We start from the raw sequence: 23,464 nt of genomic DNA on the forward strand, positions 1-23,464 counted from the left end.
GGGTTTTGTACCCTTACTTTGTTTCAGCCCTGCTCATGATGTTTATTTTTCCACTATTTTATGTCTTGCTTTATTCCACAATGGATCTGAGATAGCTTACAAAAAACACAAATAATAGAATATTTAAATGGGACTGGACATGGTGGCTCATGCCTGTAATCCTAACACTTTGGGAGGCTGAAGCAGGAGGATCGCTTGAGCCCAGGAGTTCCAGACGAGCACAGGCAACCTAGCAAGACTTTGTCTCTGTAAAATTAAAATAAGTATAAAAGAAACAACAACAAGAAGAAAAAGAATATTTAAATGAAAGTAAATAAGTAAATAAGACAAAGACTAGCAGTCTATAAATTCCTACAATATTGCAAAAACTTGGGCCATTAATTTGTTCCAGAGTTTCCTGGTGGCCACAGTATAATTTATGTATTTCCCAATTTTTAATGTAAGGAACAGAGGAAGCATCTGAATGTAGCAGTTCCTCTAGGAATTATTGCTAATTTTTGAGGACTAACACAACACTGAAATGAAGTGTATGGCCCATTTCAACAGAGACTGTAACAAATTTTTTATTTTTGGGATAGAATCTCACTCCGACACCCAGGCTGCAGTGCAGTGGTATGATCTTGGCTCACTGCAACCTCCCCCGTCTAGGTTCAAGCGATTCTCCCGCCTCAGCCACCCAAGTAGCTGGGATTACAGGTGCATGCCACCATACCCAGCTAATTTTTGTATTTTGGGTAGAGATGGAAACGTTTCGCTATGTTGACCAGGCTGGTCTCAAACTCTTGACCTCAAGTGATCCACCTGCCTCAGCCTCCCAAAGTGCTAGGATTACAGGCATGAGCCGCCACACCCGGCCAACAAATTGTAAAGTAGAAACTTTAAAGTAAAGTGAAATATAAATGTGCACAATCATAAGGATAACTTCTATATTTTTTTAATTTCTTAAAAGGATAATTTGATGACAAGGCAGGTAAATTCATATTCAAATCTAACCAACATTCTACAGGGAGCTCTTATTTCAGCATCTAAATGCTATAATTCAGCACAGGTTTCAGAGTAACGTTTTCTCTTTTTTTTTTTTTAAGACGGAGTCTCGCTCTGTTGCCTAGGCTGGAGTGCAGTGACGCAATCGCGGCTCACTGCAACCTCCACCTCCCAGGTTGAAGTAATTCTCCTGTCTCAGCCTCTGAGTAGCTGGGATTACAGGAGCACATCGCCACGCCCAGCTAATTTTTTGTATTTTAGTAGAGACGGGATTTCACCATGTTACCCAGCCTGATCTTGAACTCCTGAGCTCAGGCAATTCGCCCACCTCGGCCTTCCAAAGTGCTAGGATTACAGGTGTGAGCCACCACGCCTGGCCTAATTTTTGTATTTTTAGTAGAGATGGAGTTTCACCATATTGGTCAGACTGGTCTCGAACTCCTGACCTCAGGTGATCCACCCACCTCAGCCTCCCAAAGTGCTTGGGATTACAGGTGTGAGGCACCACGCCCAGCCTTTTTTTGTATTTTTAGTAGAGACAGGGTTTCACCATGTTGGCCAGGCTGGTCTCAAACTCCTGACCTCAGGTCATCCACCCACCTCAGCGTCCCAAAGTGCTAGGATTATAGGCGTGAGCCACTGCGCCCAGACCCAGAGTAACTTTTTGAAAATACTGTATTATTCAACCATTGCAACTAATAAACACTTTTGTTTCTTCCTTAATGTCTGCATCCAATCTATGCCAAAACACTTGACTTTCTCTGTTAAACTATGAAGAACATAAAACACTAATACAAGTAGTTCATCTAAGACTGTACTTTGAACTAATCTTAGATAATTTATCTTTCAGGAAAATATGTACAGAAAAGGAACTTTCAGGCTCTTATTAAATGAGACAATGAAAATTTAATTACATGGGCTATAAACTTAATCTGTCACTGAATGTAAACACAGGATACATTTCAGGACAAAATGAACAATTTCTGTTGCTTTTAGAATGTGTTGCACATTCCTGAGTACTAACAAGTGGCACTCTACGAAGGCATAGACTTTGAAGCTGGAAAAGACAAAAATTTGAATCCTAGATTCGTTTGCCAGCTAGATTACCTTGGGAAAATGATGTGATCGCTCCAAACTTCAGTTTCCTCATCAATACTCTGTGGGATTGCTGGAAAGAATTAGCAAAATAAGGCTTATGATGGGCTTAGCACATACTAAGCAGTATTTCATTATTATACATAGCTCTTCCATAAAGATCATGAGTTTTCCTTTCCGTGGACTATCCAGGTGACACAGCCTTTAAGACATCTCTCCCAGATTCCTAATTAAGAGCACCAACGGATCTCCTAACTTCATTCTTTAGAGCTTAGAAAAGCTACAATAAAATATTATTACAAGGAAAAGTAGGTCCGTGGGAGCATGTGAGATAGATATATACATATCATGACATACAAAAAAGAAACTAAAAAGAATGCAATCTGCTACACATTTGACAAAATTCTGAAAGATACTGATTGACTTTTGCTACTTTGCATGGTGAACTTTTACATGCATTTATTCACTTCCTGAAAGAATGTCTCTCTGCCATGAAAGCTGTTAATTCTGATTTAACAGCTATTCCCAAGGTGAGCAGCTTATCAACTACAGAATAATAACAGTTCTCTGCTCAAAGTATTTTTCACAGAAGGGTCAGAGAGAAAACTGCTTTTCTTACATCTAGATGACTAGTGTCATTAGCCAAATTAATTCACCCAATTGTCACAGGCCAAAGATCTAGTTTATTAAATATACTTGTTCTCACCATGCCAGCTATGAAGGAAAATTATGGAAAAAATCATTACCCCCTTTATTAGCAAGACTCTTCTCCAAAGGCCTCCACTTACACTTTTTAATTAAGTCTATTTTTCCCCTTAAAGAAGAATGATCTGATGGTTATCAACAGTAACATAAAATATTAGCTACCACCACTCAGAAAATATAATTCTCTTCCTTCATCCTGTAGTCATCATTCTCAATAATATCAGAGTACACTGGAAAAACTTTTCCTCACTACCTGTATTTGTAAATTCACAACCAGTAAGAGTTGAAAACCATTCTACAAGTCAATCTCACCCCACTCAGAGCCACCCAAGACAGCAGGTCTTCCAGTGAACAGCAATGAATAAACAAAATAAAATTTTTGATCACTAAGCAAAACAGTGAACTACATTATCTTTTAGCTTTTGGTTATAACATTAACAGGAAGAATACAAACTTTTACATCATTTATAATTTACTTCCTAAATTCAATTAAAATGCCCTTACTGAGAAAAAAAAATCCTACAAACTATCAAAACTCTAAACATAATTTCTTAAGATGGATACCCATGTGAAGTCAATGTTACTTTATTTGGTTTTTCTGAGGTATAAAAATTCTACAGGCAATATTTTACTTTCTCATTCTAGATATACCCAATTCCCACAAAGATGTTTTCTTTCTTATAGCATTCAGCAGCATTTCATTTCAAAATAAAACGCCTAAAGGAAAGCATGTTATAATAAAAATATTCTCAAATAGAAAGCTTTTCAGCACATTCTATGTTCTTATGTAGAAGGGGCATACTCAAAGTGACTTTCTTCCATAAATTTCAGCACAATCTAATCACTACTTATCCAGTATCGTAAGTCCAAATTTAAAACTCTACCAAAAAAAGTTTTGAAAAATCAAATGCCATTTCTCAAAGATAGCCAACTTATAAAGACTTTAAAATAAATGTGAGTGGTAAAAATCAGAAACATATAAATATTTAGAAAAAGGGCTGAGTGCAGTGGCTCATGCCTGTAATCCCAGCACTTTGGGAGGCTGAGAATGGCTTGAGCCCAGGAGTCGAAGCTGCAGTGAGCTATGATTGCACCACTGTACTCCGGCCTGGCTGATAGAGGCCCTATCTCAAAAAAAAAAAAAAAAAAAAAAAAAAAAGAGCTATGTAATGTTTTTTAATGCAGGGAGAAGAGTAGCACTGTACATTTTTTGCAAATCACTTTCATGTCTGGTTTAATGGTAGACCAGCTGAATTCTTGTTTTCTTTTTTTAATAAGCTTTCTTAGGCTGAATGATTTTTTTTTTAAATTCTATCAAATGGATTCAGACAGAAGAATGAATTCTTACATGTGCTTCTGCATTTAATCTGTTACATGTTATTTTGAAGTCTGTGGAAAAAACCTGGTCTTAGACCAGGAAAAAAGAAGAGTATTTTAACACTCTTTCCTAAATATTGGGCTTTTTTTTTAATTACACCAAAATTCAATGAGTGATAGTTTTTAAAACTTAGGTGAAATTTCTAATCTAAAACCAAATGAATCAACTTTCCATGTGCTGTTACAGTAAAATCAACTGGTCTATACTGCATTTTAAATATATCTTTCACCTGTCCATGATTTTGTAACATCATTCATTGGTCACCTGGAAAATACTGGTGCACTGTTATACAGGTCTTCCTTGACACATTTCATTGTACAGTATCAAAAATCTTATCTGGGCCAGGCAAAGTGGCTCATGACTTGTAATCCCAGTACTTTGGGAGGCTGAGGCAGGAGGATCCCTTGAGCCAAGAGTTTGAGACTATCCTGAGCAACATGGTAAAACCCCGTCTCTTCAAAAAATACAAAAAATTAGCTGGATGTGGTGGCACATGCCTGTATTCCCAGCTACTTGGGAGGTTGAAGTGGCAAGAATACCTGAGCCCAGGAGGTTGAGGCTGCAATGAGCCATGATCACAGCACTACACTCCAGCCAGAGTGATACAGTGAGGCCCTGTCTCAATTTTTTTAAATCTTATCTGTTCATATCGCTACTGATCTCATCAGAAAAGTCTATTAAGTATTGGAAAGTTGTCAAGTTCATGGTGGTGGATACAACTGTCCAAAATTCTAATTTTCACTTGAAAGCTGTACTTTTTTTTTTTTTTCCTTGAGACGAGTCTCGCTCTGTTGCCAGGCTGGAGTGCAGTGGCGCGATCTCGCCTCACTGAAACCTCCGCCTCCCGGGTTCAAGCCATTCTCCTGCCTCAGCCTCCCGAGTAGCTGGGACTACAGGTGCATGCCACCATGCCCAGCTACTCTTTGTATTTTTAGTAGAGACGGGGTTTCACCATGTTGGCCAGGATGTTCTCGATCCACCCGCCTCGGCCTCCCAAAGTGCTGGGATTACAGGCGTGAGCCACCGTGCCCGGCCCTTGAAAGCTGTAATTTTACCACTGGCAACAGTTTTCCTTGAAATCACAAGCACAGTCATCTATTTTTGATAATTTATCTGGAAAATATCCAAGCATAAATAACCAGTTTATCATTTCAAAATGGTGATGCTTGAAAAAAGCCATTTCGGCTTGCCACTCACTCACACAAGTGTTATTCATTAAGACCACTGTTGGACAATTATGCAACAGAACTGCTTTATGTGTACTTCCCATTTTATCACACAGAATATTAAGAAGATGTATATTCGAAGGCCAACACTTAATAAAAAAAATTTTTTTTGCTGTTTCATCAAAGATATTAAGTGAAAAGTAAAACTGACATTTTGTTTGTTTTCAATGTGCATGTTGGGGAAAAACTCAATCGTTATTATTAGCTCGGTTTGGTACCACTAACCTTGATTTGTGCTAAGGTGCCAGCAGCAAATCAATTGTGCAAGTCACTTTGCTTATGCCTGTAATCCTAGCATTTTGAGAGGCTGAGGCAAAAGGAACACTTAAGGCCAGGAGTTCTAGACCAACCTGGGCAACATGGTAAGACCCCATCTCTACGGAAAAAAACCTTTTTTTAATTTACAATTACAGTTTACATTTTCACAGTTGGCGAAAATGTATACAAAATAAGGGCAAAAAATATCTTAGTATAATCTTATCATGTGTTCACTGGAGCAGCCCTTTTAATTTCCTTCAAAAACTTTTCCTTTGCATTCACAACTTGGCTAACACGTTCCTTGCAAAGCTTAATCATTTCTAGCTATTGTAAAGTGAGACATGTAACCCTTCCTTTCACATGACCCACAGAGGACACTGCAGGGTTATTGGCCTAATTTCAATATATCTCAGGAAAGAGCAAGGTCCATGGGGAGAGAGGGGAATGGCCTTTCAGTGGAGCAATCAGCACACAGTATTTTTTACTAGGTTTTCCTTATTACATGAGCATGGCACCTCAAAACAATTACAATAGTAAGATCAAAGATCACTAAAAAGAATTATAAAGAGACATGAAGTGAGCACATGCTGTTGAAAATGATGCCAAAAGCTTTGCTTCATTCAGTTGCCACAAACCTTAAATTTGTTAGGAAACAAACAAACAAGTTATCTGTGAAGTGCAACAGACTGAGGTGAAATAAAGTGAAATGTGTCTGTATAAGATTGTTTCTTCACCTGCAAAATGAAGGGGAAAAAAAATGTGTACTACTTCAGAGAGCTGATATACAGCTCTCTGTATACAGTTAAATGAGACGATTTATTAGAATAATTTGTTGTTGTTGTTGTTGTTGTTTTTAAAGAAACAGAGTCTCACTTTGTTGCCCAGGCAGGATGCAATGGCACGATCACAGCTTATTGCACCCGTGAACTCCTGGGCTCAAACGGTCCTCCTGCCTCAGTCTCCCAAGTATCTAGGAATATACAGGTAGGGACCACCATGCCCAGCTAATTTTTTTTTAAATTTTTTGTAGAGACAGGAGTCTCATCTTGTTACCCGGGTTGGTCTAGAACTCCTGGCCTTAACCAATCCTCTTGCCTCAGCCTCCCAAAGTGCTACGATTACAGGTGTGAGCCACTGTGCCCAGACAATTTAAAGGATACCCAGGGCCTTGTATATTGTAGGCATACAACAAACCACTGCTACTATTATGAGCTCTAAGAGCAATCGTCTAATAATAAAGGTCAAAATGAGGTACAATACTTCAATAGCAGCTGAATTAATGACAGAATAACAGAAAATTTCTCAGACTTCAATCCTGTATTTGTACAACAGTCCATATAACATATCTGAAATAAATTTTCACCATGTGTAATACATTATATTCCCTTCTTAGAATATGTGACAACCAAGCTTTAGTATCTAAAAATTTAGTATATCAGCTTGTTTAATATTGAGATTGTTAAATACAATTTTGAAAGTTCTATTTGATACTTTCCAGCAGAAACCATGTAACATCAAGGGTAATCAAGGGTACTCACTAGGTTTATCTTAACAAATGACTTGTCTAGGAGGGAAATTTGAGACAAATGAGAAAATAAAATAACCATAAATAAGACACAGATTCGGATATTAGGATCAACAAAATCCTCCAAAATCTCGTTTAAAATATCAAAATACAGGCCAGGCGCGGCGGCTCACACCTGTAATCCCAGCACTTTGGGAGGCTGAGGGGGGTGCGGATCACAGGGTCAGGAGTTCGAGACCAGCCTGACAAACATAGTGGAAACCCTGTCTCTACTAAAAATACAAAAATTAGCTGGGCGTGGTGGCGTGCACCTGTAATCCCAGCTACTCAGGAGGCTGAGGCAGGAGAAACGCTTGAACCCAGGAGGCGGATGTTGCAGTGAGCCAAGATCACACCACTGCACTCCAGCCAGGGCGACAGAGTGAGACTCCTTCTCAAAAAAAAAAAAAAAAGCAAATACAACAAAGCTGGGTGGCAGGCACACAAGTATCTGTTATATTATTTTTATAATTTTCCATATGCATTAAACATTTCATTAAAAGATTAATCACTTGCATAAAAAAATGAAAGAGAACTCTTGGGTATTGCAAATTGGAAATAAAATTGTAAAATATAGTCCAGCTCTATCTGATAAAGACTACATATCCAAATGTAATATCTATTAAATAATAACTTTTTTATTTCACCTTAATGGTTAACTTCTATACAAGAAAGGTGAAGGACAAAGACAATACTAACAAGATTAATCTTAAGGAGATATGTCAATCTGAACTGAGGCTAAAGGCATTTTTGAATTATCCACATAATTGTCTAAACTCTCCTTTTCATCTTATCTAACATAAAAACATTAATATTTTCAAAATCACCTGGCACTGGTAAAAGATTCTTGTATCTCATGAATGAGTATCAAGCACCAACAATGAGTTAGATGAGATACGGTCACACACAAAAAAATAATGTTTATTTTGACTGTACTTTTTAAATGACAAAGAGTAATTTCAACAAAACCAAATGCTGCAGTGTGGCACTCAGCTATAACAGTGTATTTTCTTTATCCAAATAAACACAATAAAAGCTTTGCTTTGCATTGTTCATTATAAAAAACTGAATTTTTCTTTTGCAACTATTTATTTTTAAATAAGGAAGTAAAATTCTCAAAATGATACAGTTGCTGCTGCAAAGTATGAATAATAAGACTGAGGGAGGTAAGAGAGAAAGGACTAGTGCAAGCCCTAACAAAAGCCCTGTACACTGGGTATGGCTAAACCCTGAGCATGAAAGCACTCTTTGTAATTCTGGTCAATGGAAGGCCTTTCACTGTCCCAGTATATAGTAAAAAAAAAAAAAAAAAAAAAAAAATTAAAAGCAGAAGTGGGAGGATGGGGAGTTCGCCTCTTTAGGGGATATCTCCTCAGCTGCCTGGCTACAATAAGGACGAAGATTGCATGAACACAGGAAAGCTTTCCAAGCATGCAGCTACTAGGTCTTTGTTCAACACAGACCAGCCAAAAAAAGGACTCATGTACCCTACTTATACTACATTTCAATTTACTCTTAAACCAAATTCCAGGAATTGCATTTTTATCTCACATTGGCCCCTGCAAACTAGTTCACTGAGAAATCCACAGAGGACACAGTCTTTTGGCTTGCAATTTGGATTCCAGCAAAGATAATCCCACTCCTTTTATTTGAGAAGACATTAGAAAAGTTATTAAGAAATTTCATGATTTTGTTCATTTTTCAAAGGCCGCATAACCAAATGCAGTTCTCTATGAAGTTAACAGTTCATTGTCTCACTAAGCACTTCACATATGAACAAGTAATACAGGTTCATAACCAGACACCTCCGTATTTCAGTATACAACACTTTGAAAATAGTAAACCCTCAGGGTGTGGATCATAACTATTTTCCTCATTGCCATAACTGAACCAACTAAAATGCAATTAACGAAAGAAACTGTCATAGTTTAATTAGCTTTGGTTGATAACCCACTGTGTAATTATCTGTGAAGCTACAGGTAGCATAAAGCATCATTTCCTTTCAGGTTCCAAACAAAGAAAAGGCTCATTCTCTAGTATTAAGATTAGATATAGAAATGTTGGGCCCGGCGCAGTGGTCCACACCTGTAAACCCAACACTTTGGGAGGCGGAGGCGGGCAGATCACTAAGGTCAGGAGCTTGAGACCAGCCTAGCCAACATGGTGAAACCCCGTCTCTACTAAAAATACAAAAATCAGCTGGGTATGGTGGCGGGTGCCTGTAATCCCAGCTACTTGGGAGGCTGAGGAAGGAGAATCACTTGCACTTGGGAGACAGCGGTTGCAGTGAGGCAAGATCGTGCCACCACACTCCAGCCTGGGCGACAGAGCGAGACTACATCTCAAAAAAAAAAAAAAAAGAAACAGAAATGCTGAGAGCTGGGCACAGTGGCACATGCCTATAGTTCCAGCTATAGGTGCACCAGGATCATACCTGTGAATAGCCACTACACTCCAGCCTAGGCAACATACTGAGAACCAAGCTCTATTAAAAAAAAAAAAAAAAAAAAAAAAGAGAAGAAATTTTGATTTTCTTTTAAAAATACATATATATGAAGTTAATATATCTGCATTACTGGAAATTTTCTTTTAAAAATCCAACTCCATGACTGAGATTTTAAGTATGTATATGGCTGACTTTATGAAGAGCTACATTAGAATTAGCTTGTAAGACAAATTAGATTGCAAATAAATGCATTTTAATAATTAAAGATTATTCTGAAGCCTATCTAGTTTAAGAAATTTTGTTTATAACACTACTTTAAGAACTACTGAATGCCATCTTTTGAGCTGAAATGGGTATGAAATGCTTATAGAATGAGAGATTTGAAAGAGCCCTGGGAGATAATCTTATGAAATGAATGTCTGACTAAATAAAAGGGGAAAAAAAAAAGACTTGAGAAATAAAGTAACCTATTGAAGGTAACATAGCTAAATTTCCTTTATAAAATGACTACGGAGAATAAAATACCAAATTCATGTACAGTTTGCAACCTAATTTTCCCGGGTCATGATTTGCAAATGAATAATATAGCCCCAAAGGGCCACCATATTTTCTGGAAATCATGCTGACTAGTGAAAGAAAATGGTATTTCAGTGAGAATAAAAGGAAAAAGATACACAAAGAATAAGTTAACTTTATTTGGCAAACAAAAAGTAAATATTATGTAATTTGAAAAAGGACAAAGAAACTATAGATATAACCATAACCTATAGATCTGCAGGTGGCTTGTGCTATTAACTATTACTTTTTTTAAGTATCACTGAATTATTGTTAAAGAAAAACATTTATATAGTACGGAGGCTATAAAAGAGAAAGGACTAGGATACAAGGATGTAAGGTAGAAAGTATCTTCCATCATCCAATCTTTTTCTTCCAAAAGTAACCACTATCAAGTTTCTTAAGCATCTTTCCAGAAATTTTCTACACATACACATTTATCGATTTAACGACTCTTAAAAACTATTTCTAAAATTAATCATTGTGATTGTTCTAAAATTATCTAAAATGTCAGCTCTATAGGTATAAAAATAAAATTTCTAAAATATGGGTCTCATTCACAATTATGAAAACATATGATGAAGACTGTTGGTGAAAGTTATAACACGGAATATAAATATACCAAATTCTTAAGACTGTGGCCCAATAGTCCATCTGCAAAGATCGTTTCTAGCATTTATTTTCGCACAATGGAGAAAATTAAAATATACATACTAGATAAATGATGCTGTCACTTTTGACAAGTTACATAATCTATAAATTTACAACAATTTATCAATCCAGTCCATCTTCTTTTCCTCTATTTCCTCTCAATTACACATCATTAAGTCTGTTCCAATTGAGTAATCACTCCTTTGTAAGCAAAATTAGGTCAAATCATAAACTAACAATAGCACTCCATGTCCTGATGTAAAAAAACCAACTAATAAAAATCTATGTCCAGGCGCAGTGGCTCACATCTGTAATCCCAGCACTTTGGGAGGCTGACCAGCCTGGCTAATGTGGTGAAACCTCGTCTCTACTAAAAATAGAAAAATTAGTTGGGCATGGTGGTGCATGCCTATAATCCCAGCTACTTGAGCAGAAGGCAGGAGAATCACTTGAACCCAGGAGGCAGAGGCTGCAGCGAGCCGAGATCACTACAGCCTGGACAACAGAGTGAGTGAGACTCCATCTCAAAAAAAAAAAAAAAAAAATCTAACATACTATTATACAAATACATATAGTCTTCAGTAAATATGTCCTAATAGATCCAAGATACCAGTTATAAATATGCATATCCCAATTGATTGATGGGGTTAAGAAAAAAGACTATGGCACCGAATATGAATCTCAACTCACATTACTTAATACGCATCTCAGTATAAGAGCACGAGTATGAACTTTACCTTCTTTTTTACTTTTTACTAGCTTCCTAAGGAATATGCAGCATAAACTTAAGTCAGACCAACAAGTTTAGTTTCCTAACCTGTAAAATGGTTTTTGGGGTGTTTTTGAGACAAGGTCTCACTCTGTCACCCAGGCTGGAATGCAGTGGCATGATCCTGACTCTCTACAGCCTCAACTTCCTGGGCTCAAGCAGTCCTCCCACCTCAGCCTCCAAGTAGGTGGGACTACAGGAGTGAGCCACCATGCCCAGCTAATTTTTAATATTTTATACAGACAGTGTCTCACCATGTTGCCTAGGCTGGTCTCAAATTCCTGAGTCTCCCAAAGTGCTGTGATTACAGGTGTGAGCCACCACACCCAGTCTAAAATGGTATTCTTAACAACCCTGGCACCTAGTAGACATTAGTAGACATTCAACAAATGGTATCACAATTATTATTAAAGGAGAGCTTCCATATGTTATAATAAATGTAAATACTTCCTATATTATTTCAAACACAAAATTACTCAAAAAGCAGAGTTTGTAGTGTAATTTCAAAAGTTTAAAATAAATACATGTATATTTCATTTCCTCAATTTATGAGTGCAAATTAAATTTTAAGAAATATGCGAACTGAGTATTGAACCTAATATATGACCTAAATTATCAAAAATACCACCTAGCCGGGCACAGTGGCTCACGCCTATAATCCCAGCACTTTGGGAGGCCAAGGCGGGCAGATCACATGAGGTCAGGAGTTCAAGACCAGCCTGGCCAACATGCTGAAACCCCGTCTCTACTAAAAATACAAAAATCAGCCAGGCGTGGTGGTGCACACCTGTAGTCCCAGCTACTCGGGAGGCTAAGGCAGGAGAATCACTTGAACCTGGGAGGCGGAGGTTGCAGTGAGCCAAGATCATGCCATTGCACTCCAGCCTGGGTGACAGGGCAAGACTCCGTCTCAAAAAAAAAAAAAAAACTAATCCATCAATCTACAAAAATGGGAGAGGAAACCTTCAGGTTCCTTTACAATGTATCTTAACTACAACACGTGTGTATACACTGGCCATTATACACATTTCACTGCCTTCCAACCTTGAAGATTCAAAACAGCCTGTAAGGTAGGTTACCTTATGAGGTAATGGGCTTATTATTAAGCCCATTTTACAGATTAGGAAGCTAAGCAACAAAGAGGTTAGGTGGTTTTCCCAGGTTCGCACACCTGGTGAGAGTCACAGCCAAGACTGAACCCAGGTCACATGAGCTCCAGTCCCAACAAAGCCTATAGCCACCATCCTCTAATTCCCCCTCTGGAATGAATTCATGCATATGTAAACAATAAACATTAGGATTAGAGAGAATTCTGCTTAAAACAATGACACATTTGAATTTGAAAGAGTTTAGATGAGCTCTCAATGTAGTATTTCTACTGCATTACATTCATACCATGCTTACCCTCAGATGGACAATTTTCAAGATATGAAAACTCCTTTATACGAAAAGAATAAACTGTAATTACTCAGAGCAAAATCATGTAAACAGAAGCAAGAAGTCAAATAATTTCTATCCTCCCATATACTGGAAAACCAAAAAACTAAATGACTAATTCAAACCATGTAACTTATTTTTCTGTTGATTTTTATAAATTACAAGGTGACAGAAAAGGAGAATTACTTTTTTTGCATGTCATAAATTGGAAAATTAGTTGCAAATTTAAACCGGATGCTTTTTAAATAAACATATCCTTATTTAATATGCTTTCACACACCTAGTGTTTTAATACCTTCAGCAGTTAGCACACTGATACAGAACAGGTCAAACGAGATGTTTTTCAGTTTGGGTGAATTCAAGTTCAACTGTGATTCAATTATTATAGCCCAAACCAATAATATCGAGCACTTTCATGTAAGAAAATAACACAATTTAAATGTGTGAAAAACTCCTTTCCAATGCATTTAACATATCGGCTGGGGTCTTAGTCTGCCAGTTTGTATTACACATATGGATGATGTGTAATTGCACTTATACTAGTAATAATGCTGTTTCAAGCTATACAGATTCGGATTCAAGCAAGACAGGAATCATGATGTCTACAGAAGCTAGAGAAAAGTTAAAATAATGTATTAGGGCAAAATTACACGGTTGGAACATGAATGTAAGGTTAATATAATCCAATCCCAATAAAAAGTAAAAGCCTCTGGAAAACTGCTATACAGCTTGATGGCCAGGCTTTTCCTCTTGTGTCTTCCATTATCATTGCCGTTCTTTCTTAATGGTAAATTATCAAAATATTTAAAAGTTGTAAGACATCTGTCTAGTCACAAAAGGATCTCCAATTTTCTTAATCTGCCCTAGTCCACAATGACTCTGAGACAGTGGTAGGCTTAAATAATACAAGACATAACACTGTGGGAAAAACAGTTCATCAAAAAAAGAAAGATGCGATGCCTTCAATATCTAAAGTTCAGAGGCCAGATGCGGTGGCTCAAGCCTGTAATCCAAGCACTGTGGGAGGCCGAGATGAGCAGATCACTTGAGACCAGGAGTTCAATACCAGCCTGTCCAACACGGCAAAACCCTGTCTCTACTAAAAATACAAAAAATTAGCTGGCTTTGGTGACACGCACCTGTAGTCCCAGCTACACAGGAGGCTGAGGCACGAGATATCGCTTGAACCTGGGAGGCAAAGGTTACAGTGGGCCAAGATTGCACCACTGCATTCCAGCCTGGGCAACACAGCAAGACTGTCTCAAAAAAAAAAAAAAAGAAAGAAAAAAAAAGTATTAATAGATCAGAGCATTTGGGCCAAAAACTTGTCTTAAAATTTACTGGCATTAAGGTTAAAATAAAAAGGGAAGTGAGTGGCAGGAAAAGACAAATTGTAGTGGATAACTTTTTAAACCACAGAAAACAAACTTATCTGCAGAGTTCCTTCCTAGATTATGATTAAGTAAAATTCTGCCACATAGGTCCTATAAAAAATACACAAACCTTATCCAGTGCTGTAATTCCAGTGTTGACAAAGAGCAGGCTTTAGATGGAAGGCATTTCTAAGAGACAGAATTGCTATGGTACACACAGCCTTCTGATGGTCTATCTAGGGATCAATTTAGGAGTTGGAAACACATGATACTGTGTTTAAGATATTCTTCAAATATCTTAAACATTACGTATCTCTTCCTCAAATTCAAGGTGTAGGCCAGGCATGGTGGCTCACGCCTGTAATCCCAGCACTTTGGGAGGCCGAGGCAGGTGGATCACCTGAGGTCAGGAGTTCCAGACCAGCCTAGCCAACATGATGAAACCCCATCTCTACTAAAAATACAAAAATTAGCCAGCTGTGGTCGTGGGCGCCTGTAATCCGAGCTACTTGGGAGGCAGAGGCAGAAGTGCTTGAACCCAGGAGGCGGAGGCAGTAAGCCAAGGTTGCACTACTGCACTCCAGCCTGGGTGACAAGAGCGAGACTCGGTCTCAAAGAAAAAAAAAAAATTCAAGGTGTAGTACAAAGCTTTCAAGAAATGTCCTTCATCTGGCACACATTCAAACCACTGTCCAACAGTAAAGCAGTAAAGATGTGAGATTGCTTCTTACATGGGCACTACTGGCTTCAAACACCTTGAAGAGCCAGCAAAGCTGATACTTTATTATGGAAATCTAAAGGGTAGGCTTTATTTTGCTTCTATAAGAGGATAACTCACTGACACATAAACAAGAAGACGGCCAGACTGACTTCTGGGAATAGTCAGAAGCCTTCATGGGACTATAAGGTAGAGGAAATGAGAATTCTTCAGAATTTTGAAATCTCAAACTATCCCACCTAGTAGTGTTTGGTATCCCAATGTGCTGGTTTTTTAATTTTTCTGTGCAATCCTTCTTAAAGGAAGCATAAAAATGGCATTTATTTTGGTCAGCCAACAAAGTACATACCTAAACAGTTAAATAATACAATTTTTTCAAGAAGATTGAGAATAACCATTTTAAACCAGTCAAGTTAAAGAACTTCATTTTTGTGAAAGCAAATACTAAGGAAAAATTTACTCAATTATTAATCAAAAAGGGGAATTAATATTTCCATCATAATTTTCTGTTACCACAGTGCTGATTATCCCTCTTTAATACCAAGGAGATCTAAAATCACCTCCAGTTCAATTAACTGTTTCAACACATCCAGGTTTAGAAATAAGTTCCACAATTCCTCATCAAAAGTGACTCAGCCCTCACATTACCAAAAAATGTAAACAGGCAGTATCAGCTACCACAATGGTATAAATTTGAAGGGAAGAAATTTATTTTAATTACATACCCACTTAAAGCTGCTGATTTCTCAATAACTTTGTATCCAGTACAATGTTAGTGTGTAAAAAAGACCAAATCTGGGTTCTACGTATGCAGCATATGAGATATAAAGAAAAGCTTTTAAAAAGATGAGAGAATTCTAAATGATATTCAACTTCTGATAAAGTTACTGGGAAACGAAAATAGGGAAGTCTCAGAAACAATGTTTAAACTCTATTTAAACATTTGAAACAGTACCCTCACTTTCTTAATGACAACAGCCCCTAAAAGAGAAGTTCCAGGGTTATATATTCCATACAATAATAATAGCTAATATTATTAGGCAATAGGCCAGGAGCAGTGGCTCACGCCTATAATCTCAGCACTTTGGGAGACCAAGGCAGGCAGATCACCTGAGGTCAGGAGTTCGAGACCAGCCTGGCCAACACGGTGAAACCCTGTCTCTAATAAAAATATAAAAATTAGCCAGGCATGGTGGCGGGTGCCTGTAATCCCAGCTACTTGGGAGGCTAAGACAGGAGAATCGCTTGAGCCTGGGAGGCAGAGGCTGCAGTGAGCCGAGATTGTGCCATTGCACTCCAGCCTGGGCAATAGAGCAAGACTCTGTATCGAAAATAAATAAATATATATAAATAAATATATATAATTTTTTTATATATATATACACACACACACACACACACACACACACACACACTCTTATTAGGCACTAAGTATGACAGACCCTGTTCTATGCACATTAATTCATTTACAACAAACTTAGGAGGAATGTTCTATTACTTATTCCTATTTCAGGATGAAAAAACAGGCACAGAACAGGCACAGTGCCTCACGCCTATAATCCCAGCACTTTGGGAGGCCAAGGAGGGAGGATCACTTGAGTCCAGGAGTTTGAGACCAGCCTGGGCAACATGGCAAAACCGTGTCTCTACAACAATTACAAAAATTAGGCAGGCGTGGTGGTGGCACATACCTGTAGTCCCAGCTACACAGGAGGCTAAGGCAGGAGGATTGCTTGAGCCCAGGAAGTCGAGGCTACAGCGAGCCATAATCATGCCACTACACTCCAACCTGGGTGACAGATTGAGACCCTGTCTCAAGAATGTATATAAAAATTAAAATTAAAAAAAAAAAAAAAGCTGGCACAGAAAAGGCAAAAACTTACCCAAGACTAAGATTTGAACCTATGTATTCTGAGGCCAGAGTCCATACTCTTAACCACAATACTACATTGAATTTATATAAAGTATTGATTCTTAAGCTTAAGAGACTTAAACAAACATGTCAAGTCGAGGGAAACATTCCCATTACTTTGGGAGGCCGAGGTAGGTTGCTTGAGGCCAGTAGTTCAAGATCAGCCTGGGCAACACAGCAAGCCGCCATCTCTACAAAAAGTAAACAGCTAGGCAGGGTAGCACCTGCCTGTAGTCACAGCTACTCCCGAGAATGGCATGGGAGGATCCCTTGATCCCAGGAGTTTCAGGTTACAGTGATCTATGACCATGCCACTGCATTCCTCCAACCTGGGCTACCACAGAATCAGACCCTTTAAAAAAAAAAACTAACAATTATAAAAAAGATAAGGGAAATAAAGGCATCAAGTATCAGAGAACACATTAATAGAGATGGATCTAGGTCAATTGATGAAGTACAGTTGTCCCTCTGTATCCACAGGAGATTGGTTCCAGGAGTCCTGTGGATACTAAAATCCAAAGATGCTCAATTCCCTGATATAAATGATCTAGTATTTGCATAAAACCTATGCATATCCTCCCTGCATACTTCAAATCATCTCTAGATTATTTATACAATGTAAATGTTGTATAAAGAGTTATTATACTGTATTTTTTTATTTCTATAATTTTTATTGTTGGTGTTTTTGTTGTTGTTGTTGAGAAAAGGTCTCACTTTGTTGCCAGGCCAGAGTGCAGTGGCAAAATGATGGCTCGCCACAGCTTCGACCTCTCAGGCTCAAGCAATCCTCCCACTTCAGCGCCCTACCCCACCCAGTAGCTGGGACTACAGGCAAGCTCCTCACACCCGGCTAATTTTATATTTTCTGTAAATATGGGGTCTCACTATGTTGCTCAAGCTGTTCTCAAAGCCATGGGCTGCACCAATCCTCCCCAAAGTGCTGGGATTACAGGCGTGATCTACCATGCCTGGCCTCCTTTAAATTTTTTTTCAGGACTCAAAATTATACTGAGCTCAAGCAATCCACCTGCCTCAGCCTCCCAAAGTGTTGGGATTACAGGCATGGGCCACCGCATCTGGCCTGCATTATTTTTTCTACACAGCACTTATCACCATCTGACAATTATGTCTGGGTACTACCTTTCTATCTGAATACAATATAAATTTTGTGAAAAAATGACTTGTTTTTATTCATTGCTATATCCTCAGCTCTTAATGCAATACCTGGTACGCAGCAGACATGCAATTAATGTTTGTTGAATAAAGGAACAAATGAATGCATTCCTTAACCCTACCTGTGCATAAGGCCATTCTGGCTTCCTAGCAATAAAAGATTGTTTTGAGGACTCTGGGATTCAAACAACAACTATCTTATAACTAGCATCTTACATTGTACTACAAGGCACTAATATTCAAGAAATTATCTCAGCTCCCCCAGCACAAAATATGAGAAAAGTACAGACAATACACTTTAAAATGTAACACAAGAAAAACAGTATCTATGTTAAAGATAGATGTCTTATAAATTGCACAATTCACTCCACTAGATCTGCCAGTAAAGCAAAAAATATTTCTTCCTAGTTAAAATCCACTCATGGAAATAAATTAAAAGTTTCAGTGGGCAGGGCACGGTGGCTCATGCCTGTAATCCCAGCACTTTGGGAAGCTGAGGCAGGCAGATCACGAGGTCAGGAGATCGAGACCATCCTGGCTAACACGGTGAAACCCCATCTCTAATAAAAAAAATACAAAAAATTAGCCGGGCGTGGTGGCGGGCGCCTGTAGTCCCAGCTACTCGGGAGGCTGAGGCAGGAGAATGGTGTGAACCTGGGAGGTGGAGCTTGCAGTGAGCCAAGATCGAGCCACTGCACTCCAGCCTGGGCGACAGAGCAAGACTCCGTCTCAAAAAAAAAAAAAAAGTTTCGGCTGGGTGTGGTGGCTCACTCCTATAATCCCAGCAGTTTGGGAGGCCGAGGCAGGCAGATCACCTGAGATCAGGAGTTTGAGACCAGCCTGGCAAACATGGTGAAACCCCGTCTCTAAAAAATAATACAAGAATTAGCCAGGTGTAGTGGCGGGTGCCTGTAATCCCAGCTACACAGGAGGCTGAGGCAGCAGAATCGCTGGAACCTGGGAGGTGGAGGTTGCAGTGAGCCAAGACCGTGCCACGCACTCCAGCCTGGGTGACAAGAGCAAAACTCCATCTCAAAAACAAAAAAAAAAGTTTCAACATTGTCAATTATATAACTTTGCTTTGGTCATTATGAAGCTCAGATTCATAACTCCAACCCACATCCAGCAATTATCCAGGTTCTTTGGCCTTCATTTCTGTATAATGCTCATGGCTCTACCTAGCTCGAGTTATTTTTTAATCTCTATTCTTATTAATATTTTCTCAATGCCTTGATTTCCTAAATCTAGTTTTTTCACCTGGTATTTCAAGTATTTTTGTAATCCTTCTTGGAATGATTACAACTTTGAATGTTTCTTGCAGTGAAATTTGACACAGATTAATCTGAAAGATTACTATTAGATTTCTGTTTCTGCTTAGGAAAAAGAAAGCTGCAGAGAATATCACACTCACTTTAAAAGGAGAAAAGGCCACATAATATAAAACGTAACTTTTCTTTAGCCCATTAGGGAGCTGAACTTGCAAGAAAACAAAATGAACTGAATTCCAAAGGACAGACCATGAGAGAAAGAGATGGTCGGTTGTAATACAAAAAATCTGGCCGGGCGGGGTAGCTCATGCCTGTAATCCCACAATTTTGGGAGGCCGAGGCGGGTGGATCACAAAGTCAGGCGTTCAAGACCAGCCTGGCCAACATGGTGAAACCCCATCTCTACTAAAAATACAAAAAAATTAGCCAGGCGTGGTGGCGGGTGCCTGTAATCCCAGCTACTCCAGAGACTGAGGCAAGAGAATCACTTGAACCTGGGAGGCAGAGGTTGCGGTAAGCCTAGATTGCACCACTGCACTCCAGCCTGGGCAACAAGAGCGAAACTCTATCTCAAAAAAAAAAAAACTGCTAAAAGTTTAATAAATTCCTCAAAGTTAAGTGTGGACTGGCATATCAGTTTCCGAAGTGAATGCCCAGACACAATGCACTTGGTAAGTACGACATTCACTTGCAAGTTCTTCACTACAAATCTCCACATGAGCAAGACCTTTACACATCTCTCACAGTTGCTCATAAGAAAGACTGGCTTCATGACAGAAACTGGAGAGAGTCCCATCTGATGGAACAGGAGTGCAAGAGGTAGATCCTCCACAGCTAGGAACAGGCACAAAGCCTGAAGAGATTCCACAGGTCCTTTTCTGCTATGAAGCAGAGGTCCCTGTAGAGAAAGCAGCAAACCCTTTTCTCCCCCAGGACATTTCCAAAATCTACCGTTGCCAGGATGAAGAAGTAACAACCCCCCACCCCAATTCCAGTGAGGAAGAATATGGAAACCATTTTGGGCCTAGGATCCCACACTGATCCATCAAGCAGAAGTTTGCTACCATTGGCAAGGGCAAGGGGTGAGAAATTCCAACCCGAGAACTACCACAAATATAAGACAAACTGGCTGCTACATGGAAGAGGGGAGGTAACACTGACAAAGCCACATCTATGAGGCCAGATACACCAGGTCCGCATAAGGCTGAGATGAGGGTGGATCAGGATAATAGCCCCTAGCACAATCCTAGCACCTAGTACCAAGCAACGGTATTCTACACTGTGGGTAAATTAGCTACCATTTTAAGACTCTAAAGCCTGTGGTACACCAAAGGTAATGACAACAACAATAAAAACCCAAGCTAGAGCCAAGTGCAGTGGCTGTGATTCCAGCACTTTGGGAGGACAAGGCGGGAGGATCACATGAGCCCAAGAGTTGAAGACCAGACTGGGCAACACAGGAGACCCCATCTCTTTTTTTTTTTTTTTTTTTTTTTTTTGAGACAAAGTCTCGCTCTGTCGCCCAGGCTAGGGTGCAGTGGGGCAATCTTGGCTCACTGCAACCTCTGCCCCCGGGGTTCAAGCAATTCTCCTGCCTCAGTCTCCCGAGTGGTTGGGATTAAAGGTGCCCACCACCACACTCAGCTAATTTTTTTGTGTTTTTTTAGTTGAGATGGGGTTTTGCCATGTTGGCCAGGGTGGTCTTGAACTCCTGACCTCAAGTGATCCACCTGCCTCAGCCTCCCAAAATGCTGGGATTACAGGCGTGAGCTAGCTAGCTTAACTAAGCACCCAATATCTCACGGTAAAGGCCTGAAGGAAGAAGTGGCGTGCCCATTTCCAAACATAAATGCTACTTATCTCAGTCTCTACTGTTCTTCTATACAATGTTCAACGCTTAATCAAAACTTAGGAGACACACATATAGAAAAAACCACCTTTAGTGAAGAGAAAAAAGCAATAAATACAACCAGATTCAGGGATGATACAGAAGCTAGAAAAATGAAGACAGTGATTTCTCTGTAATAATGATTAGTATGTTAAAGGACAGTGAAAAAGGAGACAACATACATGAATAGATGGGTAATTTCAGGAAGAAAAATTATTTTTAGATGGAAAATAATTTCAAAAGCTAAATGCAAATGCTAGAAATAAAAAATACAATGTCAGCAGACTGGGCCCAATTGATGAAAGAATCAACGAACTTGGGCCAGGCACGGTGGCTCATACCTATAATCCCAGCACTTTGGGATTTGGGAGGTCAAGGTGGGTGGATCACCTGAGATCAGGAGTTCAAGACCAGGCTGGCCAACATGGCAAAACCCCATTTCTACTAAAAATACAAAAACTAGCCAGGCATGCTGGTGCGCGCCTGTAATCCCAGCTACTCAGGAGGCTGAGTCACAAGAATCACTTGAACCCAGGAGATGGAGATTGCAGTGAGTCAAGATCATGCCACTACACTCCAGCCTGGGCAACAGAGTGAGATTCTGCCTCAAAAAAAAAAAAAAAAATCAACGAACTTAAAGATACATTAAGATGTATCAACAGAAATTACTCAAACTACAACATAGGGAAGAAAAAAAAAAAAGAGGTTCCACTAATGTGGGAAAGTATCAAATGGTATAATATATGTATAACTGGATTCACAGAAGAAAAAAGAGACTAAAAAAAAGAAATACTTGAGATAATGACCTAGAATTTTCCAGAAAAAAAAAAAAAAAAATTCCAAACCACAGATCCAAGAAGTTTAGAGAAATCCTAAGCAAGGTAAATATAAAACAAACCAACAAACACACAAGCCTGGAAACATCAAAATCAAACAGCATGAAGGCAGCAAGAAGAAGAAAACAAAAAATTACATATACTTAAGTAAACAGGTAAGAATTACAGCAGACCTTGTGAGAAGCAATACGAGTCAGAAAACAATGACATTTGCACTACTTTAAAAGAGTGTGGCTGGGCATGGTGGCTCACACCTGTAATCCCAGCACTTTTGGCTGGAGGATAGCTTGAGCCGAGAAGTTTGAGACTAGCCTAGCCAACATGGCAAAACCCATCTCTACAAGAAACAGAAAACGTTGCCAGGTGTGGTCATGTGTGCCTGTAGTCCAAGCTACTTGGGAGGCTGAGGTGGGAGGATCACCTGAGCCTAGGAGGTCAAGGCTGTAGTAAGCCATGATCATACTACTGCACTCCAGCCTGGGAAACAGTGAGACACTGTCTCAAAAAAAAAATTTTTTTAATAATCAAAAAAAGAAAGAAAAATACTTGTCAACACAGAATTTTATGTGAGGAAAAATATTTTTCAAAAATGAAGGCAATAGAAAGATCAATATCATTAATATAAATAATGTTCTCCGTATCAAAGTAAACATATTGTTAGATATTTTTATTCAAAACTCAATAAACATAGCCAAAGTGATATTTGTCCTTGAAATGAGGTTTAAAAACTGAGAGATTCAAACATTTTCCTTAACATTCAAATAAAAATTTATCATTTTCTAAACACCATTCTAAAAAAATCCTCCCTGTTAATTCAGATACTGCTTGTCCATCTATAGCTTGGAATGCTCTGGAGGAGCATTTTGTTGCTTTAATTAAAGCAACAAAAAGAAAATTAAATAAGCCTAGGAAAAAATGCTGAATTAAAAAAAGAAAAGGTTCTTTCTGAATAGTGAAATTAGGGTTTGTCTCTTCATAGCTTTTATTTGTTTTTGAAACAGAGTCTTGCTCTGTCACCCAGGCTAGAGTGCAGTGGTGCTCACCAGAGCCTGGATTTCTTGGGCTCAACTGATCCTCCCACCTCAGCCTCCCAAGTATTATAGCTAGGACCACAGGCATATGCCACCACACCAAGCATATTTTTTATTTTTTTGTAGAGATGGGGTGTCACTATGTTGTGTAGGCTGGTGTCAAACTCCTGGGCTCAAGCAATCCTCTCATCTCAGCC

At 38.9% G+C, this 23,464-nt stretch overlaps 1 protein-coding gene across 63 annotated transcripts in view, besides 1 other annotated feature; it reads right to left on the minus strand.

The window, feature by feature from the left end:
- Window positions 1-23,464, minus strand: part of EIF4G3 (eukaryotic translation initiation factor 4 gamma 3) — a 370,606-nt gene that overhangs the window by 302,940 nt on the left and 44,202 nt on the right. For 38 of the 63 annotated variants that reach the window (XM_047433321.1, NM_003760.4, XM_047433196.1 and 35 more), the window contains one exon: window positions 2,092-2,152. The exons of the other annotated variants lie outside the window; for them this stretch is intronic. The gene's annotated coding sequence lies outside the window, so the exon portion shown is untranslated. Of the gene's footprint in view, window positions 1-2,091; window positions 2,153-23,464 lie in introns of those variants that run through there. 63 annotated transcript variants of the gene reach the window in all.
- Window positions 20,132-20,332: a silencer, noted in NCBI's record as "peak106 fragment used in MPRA reporter construct". NCBI's record gives its function as "represses an SCP1 promoter by STARR-seq MPRAs in K562 erythroleukemia cells {active_cell/tissue: K562}" and the evidence as "EXISTENCE:reporter gene assay evidence [ECO:0000049][PMID:32103011]".

Source organism: Homo sapiens, chromosome 1, assembly GCF_000001405.40.
Source record: "Homo sapiens chromosome 1, GRCh38.p14 Primary Assembly".
Classification (NCBI taxonomy): domain Eukaryota; kingdom Metazoa; phylum Chordata; class Mammalia; order Primates; family Hominidae; genus Homo; species Homo sapiens.